The 14,046-nt window shown below is 45.9% G+C and overlaps 4 annotated features.

The window, feature by feature from the left end:
- Nucleotides 583–769: a silencer, noted in NCBI's record as "fragment chr14:22026789-22026975 (GRCh37/hg19 assembly coordinates)". NCBI's record gives its function as "represses an EF-1alpha promoter that drives an FKBP-Casp9 reporter gene in an ReSE screen in HepG2 liver carcinoma cells {active_cell/tissue: HepG2}" and the evidence as "EXISTENCE:reporter gene assay evidence [ECO:0000049][PMID:32094911]".
- Nucleotides 788–1,331: an enhancer, noted in NCBI's record as "H3K27ac-H3K4me1 hESC enhancer chr14:22026227-22026770 (GRCh37/hg19 assembly coordinates)". NCBI's record gives its function as "activates a minimal SCP1, AML or CMV promoter by ChIP-STARR-seq in naive H9 embryonic stem cells {active_cell/tissue: H9 hESC(naive)}" and the evidence as "EXISTENCE:reporter gene assay evidence [ECO:0000049][PMID:30033119]".
- Nucleotides 1,332–1,875: an enhancer, noted in NCBI's record as "OCT4-NANOG-H3K27ac-H3K4me1 hESC enhancer chr14:22025683-22026226 (GRCh37/hg19 assembly coordinates)". NCBI's record gives its function as "activates a minimal SCP1, AML or CMV promoter by ChIP-STARR-seq in naive H9 embryonic stem cells {active_cell/tissue: H9 hESC(naive)}" and the evidence as "EXISTENCE:reporter gene assay evidence [ECO:0000049][PMID:30033119]".
- Nucleotides 13,239–13,439: a silencer, noted in NCBI's record as "peak2117 fragment used in MPRA reporter construct". NCBI's record gives its function as "represses an SCP1 promoter by STARR-seq MPRAs in K562 erythroleukemia cells {active_cell/tissue: K562}" and the evidence as "EXISTENCE:reporter gene assay evidence [ECO:0000049][PMID:32103011]".

The raw sequence follows: 14,046 nt of genomic DNA, 5'->3' as shown, positions 1-14,046 counted from the left end.
AAGTGCTGGGATTACAGGCATGAGCCACCACCTTGCAACCTGTCTTTAAAAAAAGAAAGGCCGGGCACAGTGGCCCACACCTGTAATCCCAACACCTTGGGAGGCCGAGGCGGGTGGATCACATGACGTCAGGAGTTCAAGACCAGCCTGACCAACATGGTGAAACCCCATCTCTACTAAAAATACAAAAATTAGCCAGGTGCCATGGTGCGCACCTGTAATCTCAGCTACTCTGGAGGCTGAGACAGGAGAATCTCTTGAACCCAGGAGGCAGCGGTTGCAATGAGCCGAGATCATGCCACTGCACTCCAGCCTCAGTGACAGAGTGAGACTCTGTCTCAAAGAAAAAAAAAGTAAAATTAGCCGGGTATGGTGGCGTGCACTTGTAGTCCCAGCTACTCAGCAGGCTGAGGTGGGAGGATTGCTCAAGCCAGGTAATTAGAGGCTGCAGTAACCCATCCATGATAACACGGCTGCACTCTAGCCTGGGTGACAGAGTGAGACTATCTGAACAGAAGACGAAAAAAAAAAGAAAAAGAAAAGAGACAAGACAAGACAAGACAAGATAGTGGAGCAAAGCTTCTGCTTTTCCTTTGTAAGCCAGCAAATGCTACCCTATGGAAGGGAAAGGACGGGAAGAGAAAAGTACTGTCCAACTCCACTGAATCTGTAGCAACAGCATGACGTTCAGATAAAAAATATCTAATATGGCTGGGCACAGTGACTCACACCTGTAATCCCAGCACTTTGGGAGGCCGAGGCGGGTGGATCATCTGAGGTCAGGAGTTCGAGACCAGCCTGCTCAACATGGTGAAACCCCATCTCTACTAAAAATCCAAAAGTTAGCTGGGCATGGTGGCGTGTGCGTGTATTAGTCCCAGTTACTCGGGAGGCTTAGGCAAGAGAATCGCTTGAACCCGGGAGGTGGGGGTTGCAGTGAGCTGAGATTGCATCACTGCACTCCAGCCTGGGCGACAGAGTGAGATTCCGTCTCAAACAGACAAACAAAAAAAAAATCTGGTATGGAGTTGGGAGAGATAAGACTAAACCTCATGTTCCCATATTTGAATTGGATGCAAAAAAAAAAAAAAAAAAATTCGGCCGGGCGTGGTGGCTCGCGCCTGTAATCCCAGCACTTTGGGAGGCTGAGGCACCTGAGGTCAGTAATTCAAGACCAGCCTGGCCAACATGGTGAAACCCTGTCTCTACAAAAATTAGCCGGGCATAATGCAGGTGCCTGTAATCCCCAACTACGCGGGAGGCTGAGACATGAGAATCGCTTGAACCCAGGAAGCGGAGGTTGTAGTGAGCCGAGATTGCGCCACTGCGTTCCAGCCTGGGCGACAGGGTGAGACTCCGTCGCAAAAATAAATACATAAATAAATAAAATTTTTAAAAAATAAAAATAAAAATTCACCAACATAAAGATGATATTTAAATCTGTATATGTGAGAAGGAACAAGTACTAACTGCATCACAATTAAACAGTTTCCTAGGAGTGGCTTCTGAATGTTACTTCTTTGTATCTTATTTTTGTATCTGAATGTTACTTCTTTGTATACTTACTGGCCTGTATCGCAGGCTTTCACTTGTTAATTGAGTTCTCTCTTCTTAAGTATTTTGGCATTTCTACCACCAGGTGGCGATGTCCCACTGTCTTTCATTTACTCATTGTCGAACGAGAGATTCTTAAAGAATTTGGGGGTGGGGGGAGGGGTCAGGTTATGTCCTTCTACTAGTTATACAAATAAGCGCTTGCTTTCATGCTGAAAAGCGAAAAGAATTTGGAGGGGGAGGGTAAGAGGTCAGGCAGTGGCTGCCTCTTCCTCCCTATTTGTTTTCTTAGTCGTTTGGTTTCCATGGGAATCCATGTTTGAGCAGCAACTCTGAATCCATTTACTGCCCCTCCAGGCTTGGGGCTGAGCCCAGAGACAAGCTGTGAAGAACAGCAGATGGGTAGAAAGGCGGGGAAGATTTATTTGGTAAATTTGGATAGCAAAAGAGGCCAACAGGTGCCGGGGGAGCAGTGGTGAGGTGGAGTGCACGAAGGAATGTGAAAGGCAGACAATGTTTTTTAGTTCAAATAAAATTGGGGAACATTAAAATAGTTTCCAAAACTCTTCAGTCAGGGATACTCTGTTCTCTCCCCATAGATCATCTTAGGACACACTCTGGGCCTTGTATATTACCAGGTCCTCTCTATCTCTTATCCAAAAAAAAATCAACAGGCTAGGCACCATGGCTCACACCTGTAATCCCGACATTTTGGGAGGATGAGGCAGGAGGATCACTTGAGCCTAGGAGTTTGAGACCAACCTGGGCAATAGAGGGAGATCCCATCTCCACAAAAAAAAAAAAATTGTTTTAATTAGCTGGGCATGGTGGCTCACACCTATAGTCCCAGCTACTCTGAAGGCTGCAGTGGGAGGATCGCCTTAGCCCAGGAGTTCAAGGCCACAGTGAGCCGTTATCTTTTTGCCAGCCTGGGCAACAGAGCAAGACCCTGTCTCAACAAAACAAAACAAAACAAAACAAAAACGTCAGCAGACAAGTGTCAGAACCTGTCCAAGGTTAAAGCCCTTTGGAGTAAGAGAACTCCAAGGAAAAAACCTCCACTGCATTCCCCAGGCAAAGCATAATTCCGCATACAGCAAGCTCTCAGTAAAATATTGGTTGAATGAATGAATGAATGAATGAATGAATGAGCAATAAGAATCAGATGGCCTTGACTAGCCTTACTTAGTTCCAGCTTGAGATAACAAACTCAGCACAAAGAAAAATCATCTATTCTGTCATCAAAATCATGAGGATGTGAATGTTTTCATTCACAGATTAAGTCATTCAAAGAATGATGAGGGTGTTTTGTTGTTGTTGTTCTGCTTAAATCAGATGTTTTTCATACTTGCATTACTAATACCCCAGTTTCTAAGAGTATTTGCATTTCAGTTTGTTTGTGACAATATTCGGGTATCCATTCACAGATAGCAGTTGATCTGCATATGAACAGCTTTCTACCTTGAGATGGAATCAAGTCTTCCCTCTAATTCCTTAACCACCAGCCCCACTCTTTCTCTTCACTTTCTGACCCACTACCCTGTTTAATTATCATTCATTCTGTAGTTATTTATTTGCTTACATTTTTATTGCTTGTCACTTCTACAAATGATAGGTGACAAGCTTCTTTCTTTCTTCCGGATCACTAAGCCTTCTCTAAGTTTTATCGTCTAAATGTTCATCTTACTTTTTTTTTTCTTTTTTCTTTTTTTTTTTTTTTTTTTGAGACAAAGTCTCACTCTCTCACATGGCTGGAGTGCAGTGGCACGATCTTGGCTCACCGCAACCTCCACCTCTCAGGTTCAAGCAATTCTCCTTTCTCAGCCTCCTGAGTAGCTGGGATTACAGGTGTGTGCCACCACGCCCAGCTAATTTTTATATTTTTAGTAGAGACGGGGTTTCACCATGTTGGCCAGGATGGTCTCAATCTCCTGACCTCGTGATCCACCCCGCTCAGCCTCCCAAAGTGCTGGTATTACAGGCACCCGTGCGCGGCCCTTATGTTCTTTTGAAATCCCCAATTTAAGTGACTTCTTCATTATTCTAATTTAATCTGCTCACCCTCCTGCCCTCCAATTGGAAATGGCCTTTCCTTCCTCTGAACTTGTATGCAGTTGATCTGCATTGCTTATAGCACTCACCTCTTGTTCTCTATGCAGAACAGTGTAATAATATTAACTATCAAATGTTGTGAACTTGGTGGCCGGGTGCAGTGGCTCATGCGTGTAATCCCAGCACTTTGGGAGGCCAAGGCAGGTGGATTACCTGAGGTCAGGAGTTCAAGACCAGCCTGGATTAGCTGGGCATGATGGGGAGCACCTGTAATCCCTGTAATCCTAATGCTTTGGGAGACTGAGGTGGAAGGATCACTCGAGCCCAGGCGTTCAAGGCCAGCCTGGGCAACATAGTGAGACCCTGTCTCTATTTTATAAAAAATATAAAAATGGCCAGGCGCGGTGGCTCACACCTGTAATCCCAGCACTTTGGGAGGCCGAGGTGGGCGGATCACCTGAGGTCGGGAGTTCGAGACCAGCCTGACCAACATGGAGAAACCCTGTCTCTACTAAAAATACAAAAAATTATCTGGGCATGGTGGCGCATTCCTGTAATCCCAGCTACTAGGGAGGCTGAGGCAGGAGAATCGCTTGAACCTGGGAGGTGGAGGTTGCGGTGAGCCGAGATCGTGCCATTGCAGTCCAGCCTGGGCAACAAGAGTGAAACTCCATCTCAAAAAATATATATAAATAAATAAATAAATAAATAAATAAATAAATAAATAAATAAAGTGCTGGGATTACAGGCATGATCCACCGTGGCCAGCCTCACTCTTCATCTCTTGCCTGGATTTCTGGTATCTCTTCTGTCCATTCAGTCTCTTTCCAATTTTAAATCATTTTCCACACTTTCAATGGTTGACCTTCTAAAATATAGCTCTATGCCAGGCGCAGTGGCTCATGCCTATAATCCCAGTACTTTGGGAGGCCAAGGCTGGTGGATCACTTGAAGCCGGGAATTCAGGACCAGCCTGGCCAATGTGGTGAAACTCCGTCTCTACTACAAATACAAAAAATTAGCCAGGCATGGTGGCAGGCACCTGTAATCCCAGCTACTCAGGAGGCTGAGGCAGGAGAATCACGTGAACCCAGGAGGCAGAGGTTGCAGTGAGCCAAGATTGTGCCACTGCACTCCAGCCTGGGTGATGGAGTGAGACATGGTCTCAAAAAATAAATAAATAAATAAAATTATTAAAATAATAATAAAATACAGCTATATTCTTTGTTTTAAAACTTCCAGTGTCTTCTCATAATATTCAATTTGTTAATATAGCATAAATGGTCTTTTACACTCACCCCAAACTTCTTTTCAAATTTTCTTTCCCTATACATTTCTACTCTTTTTTCTTTTCTTCTTCTTTTTTTTTTTTTTTTTTTTTTTTTGAGACAGAGTCTTGCTCTATCTCCCAGGCTGAAATGCAGTGGCCTGATCATAGCTCACTGCAGCCTCAACCTCTTGGGATCAAGGAATTCTCCCACCTCAGCCTCCTGAACAGCTGGAACTACAGGCATGTGCTGCCACCACACCTGGCTAATTTTTGTATTTTTTGTAGAGACAGGGCCTTGCTATGTTGCCCAGGCTGGTCTCAAACCCATAGGCTCAAGTGATCCTCCCGCCTCGGCCTCCCAAAGTGCTGGGATTACAGGCGTGAGCCACCGTGACTGGACTCACCATTTCTTTATTCATCTAAACCATATTGTGCATAACATCCATCTTACATGTGACCTCCTCTCTGAAAATCTCTTCAGTTCACTCAGGTAGTATTATTCAAGTCTCCCTTCTTCCCAGGGAACTTTATGTATACCTTTACGACAGTTTCTCATGTTGTATCGTCTTTATCTTTTCGAAATTGCCCCTCCTCCCAGGGAGAAGCAGGGCCTGTGTCTTATTTGCCTTTGTAACCCCAGCATCCCAGTTCTCTCATCTCTCTCTTAATATGAGCATGAATGTGATTCTATGTTGAGAAATGTCTACTCGTTCACTCTACTTTCCCCCTAAATGCAGGCCTGGTAAGTGAAATCTCAAATGCATTTGCCAAATGTTTGTTGAAAATGTAACAAATTAGAAGATCTACCTTGGAGCTTATGTCCCAAAAGAAGGAAAGGATTTCTATGGCCTGGGCTAAATCCTGAGGTGATTCTGCCATCTGGAGATACAGAATCATGAATGTCTAAGCTGCTTTGGTTTTTGATTGGACTTACTTCTGGAGGTCACAGAGGTTAGCAGACCTGAGGTTTGTTGATGGACTTTCATATTTTAATTTAATTTAATACAAGTTAAATTTGAATATGCAAATTAAACTATAATTAGGATTCCCCAACAGCAATGTAAAGAATGCAACGGAATCTCACTCTGGCATTCCATGCAGTTAGCCCAGGTTGAGTCTCTCTGTCCTCCTGTCCCTCTCTATATAAGCATGAGTGTGATCCTATATTGAGAAGTGCATAGTTTTATTCTACCTACCGCATAAATAAATGCAGGCCAACTACTTCCTCCAATATTCGCCAAATAAATGACAAGAACTTGTTCTAATACCAGAGCAAAAGCAGTCTCTTGGGCATTCCTTCCTCAGAAATTTTTCGACTTTGACTCTAGACCTCGTCTTAAGTAATGGTTTAGAAATGACCATCAGGGGCCATGTGAGGTGGCTCACACCTGTAATCACACTTTGGGAGGCTGAGGTGGGCAGACCACTTAAGTCCAGGAGTGCAAGACCAGCCTGGCCAATATGGCAAAACCCTGTCCCTACAAAAAATACAAAAATTAGCTGGGCATAGTGGCATGCACCTGTGGTCCCAGCTACTCAGGAGGCTGAAGTTGAGAGGCTAAGGTGGGAGGATCACTTGAGCCCAGGAGGCAGAGATTGTACCACTGCATTCCAGCCTGGGCAACAGAGTGAGACTGTCAAAAAAAAAAAAAAAAGAAGACAGAAAAAGAAAGAAAGAGAGAGAGAGAAAGAAAGAAAGAAAGAAAGAAAGAAAGAAAGAAAGAAAGAAAGAAAGAGAGAAAGAAAGAAAGGAAAGAAAGAAAGAAAGAAAGAAAGAAAGAAAGAAAGAAAGAAAGAAAGAAAGAAAGAAAGAAAGAAAGAAAATTACCATCATAGATTTATTATTGTAGGACCCTATGTAGAAATTGTTGCAATAGATGCATCTTGTTGATTGATACAGATGTTCACATATGCAAGCACAAACTGTTAAAGCTGGGTAAGAAAATCATTGGGTCTAATTCCATCAATGCAGATTGAGGTCTGAGAGGTAAACACTTGGGAAAATTCCTAAGGGGATTGTGCAGTGGTGTGATCACTGCTCACTGTAGACTCAATCTGCCAGGCTCAAGTGATCCTCCTATCTCAGCCTTCCAAGTACCTGAAACTACAGGCTGCCACCATGCCTGGATAATTTTTATCTATTTATTTATTTATTTATTTATTTTTGAGGAGTCTCATTCTATTGCCCAGGCTGGAGTGCAGTGGCACGATCTTGGCTCACTGCAACCTCCACTTCCCGGGTTCAAGCGATTCTCCTGCCTCAGCCTCCCGAGCTGCTGGGATTACAGGCGTGTACCCTGATGCCGGGCTAATTTTTGTATTTTTACTAGAGATAGGGTTTCACCATGTTACCCAGGGTGGTCTTGGCCTCAAGTGATCTGCCCGCTTTGTCCTCCCATAGTGCTGGAATTACAGGCATGAGCCACTGTGCCTGGCCTTTTTTTTTTTTTTTTTTTTTTTTTTTGAGTAGAGATGAGGTCTCACTATGTTGCTCAGGCTGGTCTCATACTATGAGTTCAAGCAGTCCTCCTGCCTTGGCCTCTCAAAGTGCTAGGATTACAGGCATGAGCCACCATGCCTGGCCCCAAGGGGATTTAACTGGGAATAGAAAGAATTTGACTAGAACCCAAGTTCGATGGTTTTTCCACTAAAAATGAAAATGTATGTCATATGAGTTCTATTTGTCAAGTGGACTTTCAATATAAATTCTTGGAGAGTGGAAAGGATATGAAGTTATATTCACATGCATCATGCCCAGCTGGCATAGAGTGGATGCCCAGTAGGTATTTTTTGTAGAGACGGGGTCTTGCTATTTTGCCCAGCCTCGTCTTGAATTCCAGGCCTCACGCAATCCTCCCACCTCAGCCTCCCAAAGTGCTAGGATTATAAGTGTGAGCAACTGTGCCCAGCCTACCGGTTTTTGTTTTGTTTGTTTTTTGTTTTTTTTTTGAGACAGAGTTCACTCTTGTTGCCCAGACTGGAGTGGAATGGCATGATCTCGGCTCACCACAACCTCTGCCTCTTGGGTTCAAGCGATTCTAGTTTAGTGGTTTTGTTCATTTGGATAATAACAGCATCGATTATTATTATTATTTAGGTTTTTTTTGTGATGGAGTTTCATTCTTATTGCCTCAGCCTCCTGAGTAGCTGGGATTACAGGCTCGCGCCACCACACCTGGCTAATTTTTGTATTTTTAGTAGAGACGGGGTTTCACCATGTTGGTCAGGCTGGTCTCCAACTCCTGACCTCATGATCCACCCACCTCGGCCTCTCAGAGTGCTGGGATTACAGGCGTGAGACACTGCACCCGACCCCTAGGTTTGTTTCAAGAATCTGATGAGGCCAGGTGCAGTGTCTCACACCTGTAACCCCAGCACTTTGGGAGGCCAATGTGGAGAAATCATTTGAACGCAGGAGTTCGAGATAAGCCTGGCCAACATGGTGAAACCCTGTCTCTACTAAAAATACAAAAATTAGTCAGGTGGGGTGGCAGGCACCTGTAATCAGATTACAAATGGTGTGTATGGAAGGATAGTAGATGTTTGGAAGGGAGAGACGGAGGTAGGTAATGGAAAGAATAATTTATCTTGAGTAACAGGCTTATTTCTCTCAGGTCTCTCTCCTTCCCCTCTCTTTTCTTCAAGACTTCCATCCAATTTTTTGGAAACACACACACACACATCCTGGTAATATTTATCCCTTGACCAAAAGATGGGAGCAGAGGTCATTGAATCAAATAAGGAAAATGTAGTCCTAAATCTCATAGACACATAATGTAGTCATTAAGTCCTTCCCCTACAATCCCCACTTTTTTCTACCAAATCCAGTGATACTAAACTTTGAGTCTAACTTCCCCATGGCCCAGCCACCCTGTTCATAGTCACTATCAGGTACTCTTTCCCATCTGCTTCCAAAAGAACCTTCTGCCATCAACTGTCACTGCCTCCAGCAATTGCTACATATCATTGGCTGCCTTCCTGGCTTGCCTATTGGGATCCCTTAAAAAGCATCACATGGGCCGGGCACAGTGGCTCACGCCTGAAATCCCAGCACTTTGGGAGGCTGAGGCAGGTGGATCACGAGGTCGGGAGTTCGAGATCAGCCTGACCAACATGGTGAAACACCGTCTCTACTAAAAATACAAAAATTAGCCAGATGTGGTGGCGTGCACCTGTAATCTCAGCTACTCAGGAGGCTGAGGCAGGAGAATCTCTTGAACCCGGGAGGTGGAGGTTGCAGTGAGCCGAGATCGCACCACTGCACTCTACCCTGGGCAACAGAGAGAGACTCCATCTCAAAAAAAAAAAAAAAAAAAAAAAGCATCACATGGCCAGGTGCTGTGGCTCACACTTGTAATCACTTTGGGAGGTTGAGGAGGGTGGGGGAGTTCAAGACCAACCTGACCAACATGGAGAATATAAAAATAAAAATAAAAGAATAAAAACACAAAATTAGCTGGGTGTGGTGGTGCATGCCTGTAATCCCCAGCTACTCGGAAGGCTAAGGAAGGAGATTTGCTTGAACCCAGAAGGTGGACATTGAGGTGAGCCGAGATCTTGCCACTGCACCGCACCGCACCCTGGGTGACAGAGGAAGACTGAGTCTCAAAAGAAGACAAACAAACAAAAAAACCAAACCTAGGGCTGGGCACAGTGGCTCACACCTGTAATCCCAGCACTCTGGGAGACCTAGGCAGGTGGATCACCTGAGGTCAGGAGTTCGAGACCAGCCTGGCCAACATGGTGAAACCCCGTCTCTACTAAAAATACAAAAATTAGCTAGGCGTGAGGCCGGGCATGGCTGCTCACGCCTGTAATCCCAGCACTATGGGAGGCTGAGGCAGGCGGATCACGAGGTCAGGAGATTGAGACCTGGCTAACACGGTGAAACCCCGTCTCTACTAAAAATACAAAAAAAATAGCCAGGCATGGTGGCAGGCTCCTGTAGTCCCAGCTTCTTGGGAGGCTGAGGCAGGAGAATGGTGTGAACCCGGGAGGCAAAGCTTGCAGTGAGCCGAGATCATGCCACTGCACTCCAGCCTGGGTGACAGAGCAAGACTCTGTCTAAAAAAAAAAAAAAAAAAAAAAAATTAGCTAGGCGTGGTGAGGGGCACCTAGAATCCCAGCTACTCAGGAGGCTGAGGCAGGAGAATCATTTATACCCAGGAGGCAGAGGTTGCAGTGAGCCAAAATCACAGCATTGCACTCCAGCCTGGGCAACAAGAGCAAGTCTCCATCTTAAAAAAAAAAAAAAAAAAAAAAAAAAAAAAAGCCAGGTGTGGTGGCTAACGCCTATAATCCCAGCACTTTGGGAGGCCAAGGCAGGCAAATCATGAGGTCAGGAGTTCAAGACCAGCCTGGCCAACATGGTGAAACCCCGTCTCTACTAAAAATACAAGAAATTAGCTGGGCGTGGTGGCAGGCACCTTAATCCCAGCTACTCCGGAGGCTGAGGCAGGAGAATTGCTTGAATGTGGGAGGCAGAGGTTGCAGTGAGCCCAGATCATGCCACTGTACTTCAGCCTGGGCAACAGAGTGAGACTCTGTCAAAAAAAAAAACAAAAAAAAAAAACCTAGGTGCCTCAGTTTCATATAAAGGGGTATTAAAATAATGATTACTGCTGGGCGTGGTGGCTCACACCTGTCATCCCAACACTTCGGGAGGCTGAGCAGGTGGATCACAAGGTCAGGAGTTCAAGAGCAGCCTGGTCAAAACAGTGGAACCCTGTCTATACTAAAAATACAAAAACTAGCCAGGCGTGATGCCAGGTGCGTGTAATCCCAGCTACTCGGGAGGCTGAGGCAGGAGAATTGCTTGAACCCAGGAGGCGGAGGTTGCAGTGAGCCGAGATCACGCCACTGCACTCCAGCCTGGGTGATAGCCGGAGTGAGACTCCATCTCAAAATTAAATAAATAAATACATAAAATAATGCTTACTGATATGGTTTAGCTCTGTGTCATCCAAATCTCATCTTGTAGCTCCCATAACTCCCATAGGTTGTGAGAGAGACCTGGTGCATTGAGAAAAGACTAATACAGTACATTGGTGCTGGGAGTGGGGTGCTGCTGAAAAGATACCCAAAAATGTGGAAGCAACTTTGGAACTGGGTAACAGGCAGAAGTTGAAACAGTTTGGAGGGCTCAGAAGAAGATAGGAAAATGTGGAAAGTTTGGAACTTCCTAGAGACTTGTTGAATGGCTTTGACCAAAATGCTGATAATGATATGGACTATGAAATCCAGGCTGAGGTGGTCTCAGATGGAGATGAAAAACTTGTTAGGAATGGGAGTAAAGGTGACTCTTGTTATGTTTTACCAAAGACACTGGTGGCATTTTGCCCCTGCCCTAGAGGTTTGTGGAAATTTGACTTTGAGAGATAATTTATGGTATCTGGTGGAAGAAATTTCTAAGCAGCAAAGCATTCAAGAGGTGACTTGAGTGCCGTTAAAGGCATTCTGTGGCCGGGCGCGGCGGCTCACGCCTGTAATCCCAGCACTTTGGGAGGCCGAGGTGGGCGGACCATGAGGTCGGGAGATGGAGACCATCCTGGCTAACATGGTGAAACCCCATCTCTACTAAAAATACAAAAAATTAGCTGGGCTTGGTGGCAGGTGCCTGTAGTCCCAGCTGATCCGGAGTCTGAGGCAGGAGAATGGCGTTAACCTGGGAGGAGGAGCTTGCAGTGAGCCGAGATCGCGCCACTGCACTCCAACCTGGGCGATAGAGCGAGACTCCATCTCAAATAATTAATTAATTAATTAATTAACCAGGCATGATGGTGTATGCCTGTAATACCAGCTACTTGGGAGGCTGAGGCAGGAGAACCGCTTGAACCCGGGAGGCAGAGGTTGCAGTGAGCAGAGATCAGGCCATTGCACTCTAGCCTGGGCAACAAGAGCAAAACTCCATCTCAAAAAAGAAAAAAAGGCATTCTGTTTCAAAACGGAAACAGAGCATAAAAATTTGTATAATTTGCAGCCTGACAATGCAATAAATAGTAAAGAAAATCCCATTTTCTGAGGAGAAATTCAAGCCACCTATAGAAATTTGCATAAGTAATGAGGAGCCAAATGTTAATCACCAAGACAATGAGGAAAATGTCTCCAGGGCATGTCAGAGACCTGTGTGGCAGCCCCTCCCATCACAGGCCCCAAGGCCTAGGAGAAAAAAGTGGTTTCCTGGGCTAGGCCCAGGGTCCCCATACCTTGTGTAGCCCAGGAACTTGGTGCCCTGCATCCCAGACAGTCCAGCCATGGAGCCATGGCTGAAAGAAGCCAACGGAGAGCTCAGGCTGTGGCTTCAGAGGGTGCAAGCACCAAGCCTTGGCAGCTTCCACATGGTTCTGAGCCTGCGAGTGGACAGAAGTCAACAATTGAGGTTTGGGAGCCTCTGCCTGGATTTCAGAAGATATATGGAAATGCCTGGATGCCCAGGCAGAAGTTTGCTGTAGGGGCAGGTTCCTCATGGGAAACCTCTGTTAGGGCAGTGTGGAAGGGAAATGTGGGGTGGAAGCCCCCACACAAAATCCTCACTGGGGCACTGCCTAGTGGAGCTGTGAAAAGAGGGCCACCGTCCTCCAGACACCATAATGGTAGATCCACCAACAGCTTGCACCATGCACCTAGAAAAGTCACAGACACAGGCCGGGCGTGATGGCTCACGCCTGTAATCCCAGCACTTTGGGAGGCCGAGGCAGGCGGATCATGAGGTCAGGAGACCGAGACCATCCTGGCTAACACGGTGAAACCCCATCTGTACTAAAAATACAAAAAATTAGCCGGGCGTGGTGGTGGGTGCCTGTAGTCCCAGCTACTCGGGAGGCTGAGACAGGAGAATGCCATGAACCTGGGAGGCGGAGCTTGCAGTGAGCTTAGATGGCGCCACTGCACTCCAGCCTGGGAGACAGAGCAAGACTCTGTTTCAAAAAAAAAGAAAAGCCGCAGACACTCAACACCAGCCTGTGAAGGCAGCCAAGAGGGAGGCTGTACCATGCAAGGCTACAGGTGCAGAGCTGCCCAAGACCATGGGAACCCACCTCTTGCATCAGCATGACCTGGATGTGAGACATGGAGTCAAAGGAGATCATTTTGGAGCTTTAAGATTTGACTGTCCCCCTGGATTTTGGACTCACCTGGGGCCTGTAGCCCCTTTGTTTTGACCAATTTCTCCCATTTGGAATAGGTGTATTTACCCAATGCCTGTACCTCCATTGTATCTAGGAAGTAATTAACTTGCTTTGATTTTACAGGCTCATAGACAGAAGGGACTTGCCTTGTCTCAGATGAGACTTTGGACTACAGACTTTAGAAATAATGCTGAAATGAGTTGAGACTTTGGGGGACAGTTGGGAAGGCATGACTGGTTTTGAAATGTGAAGATAAGAGATTTGAGAGGGACCATGGGTGGAATGATATGGTTTGGCTCTGTGTCCCCATCCAAACCTCATCTTGTAGCTCCCATAATTACCATGTGTTATGAGAGAGACCTGATGAAAGAAGACTGAACTATGGGGCTGGGTCTTTCCCCTGCTGTTCTCTTGATAGTGAATGGGTCTCACAAGAGGCAGAGCTTGCAGTGAGCCAAGATCGCACCACTGCACTCCAGCCTGGGCGACACAGCGAGACTCCGTCTCAAAAAAAAAAAAAAAAAAAAAAAAAAAAAAACCCAGTCCCAGGTATGTTGTTATTAGCAGCATGAGAACAGACTAATACACTTAACTTTACCAGACCGTGCCAATAAAAATCACAAAGAGATATCACCAAAAGAATGAAGTCCAGGGCCAAGCATGGTGGCTCATGCCTGTAATCCCAGCACTTTGGAACACCCAGGTGAGAGGATCGCTTGACCCCAGGAGTTTGAGATCAGCCCTAGCAAGATAGTGAGATTCTGTCTCTACAAAAAATTAGTGGGTCATGGTGGTGTGTTTCTGTAATCCCAGCTACTTGGGAGGCTGAGGCACAAGAATCCCTTGAATCTGAGAGGCAGAGGTTGCAGGGAGCCAAGACTGCACCACTGCACTCCAGCCCAGGCAACAGAGTGAGACCCTGTCCCAAAAATAAAGAAAGAATAGGCCGGGCACAGTGGCTCATGCCTGTAATCCCAGCACTTTGGGAGGCTGAGGCGGGAGGATCACGAGGTCAGGAGATGGAGACCATCCTGGCTAACAAGG

Source organism: Homo sapiens, chromosome 14 (assembly GCF_000001405.40).
Source record: "Homo sapiens chromosome 14, GRCh38.p14 Primary Assembly".
Taxonomy (NCBI): domain Eukaryota; kingdom Metazoa; phylum Chordata; class Mammalia; order Primates; family Hominidae; genus Homo; species Homo sapiens.
Note: the sequence above shows the minus strand (reverse complement) of the source record. Positions and strands in the feature narration are given on the sequence as shown.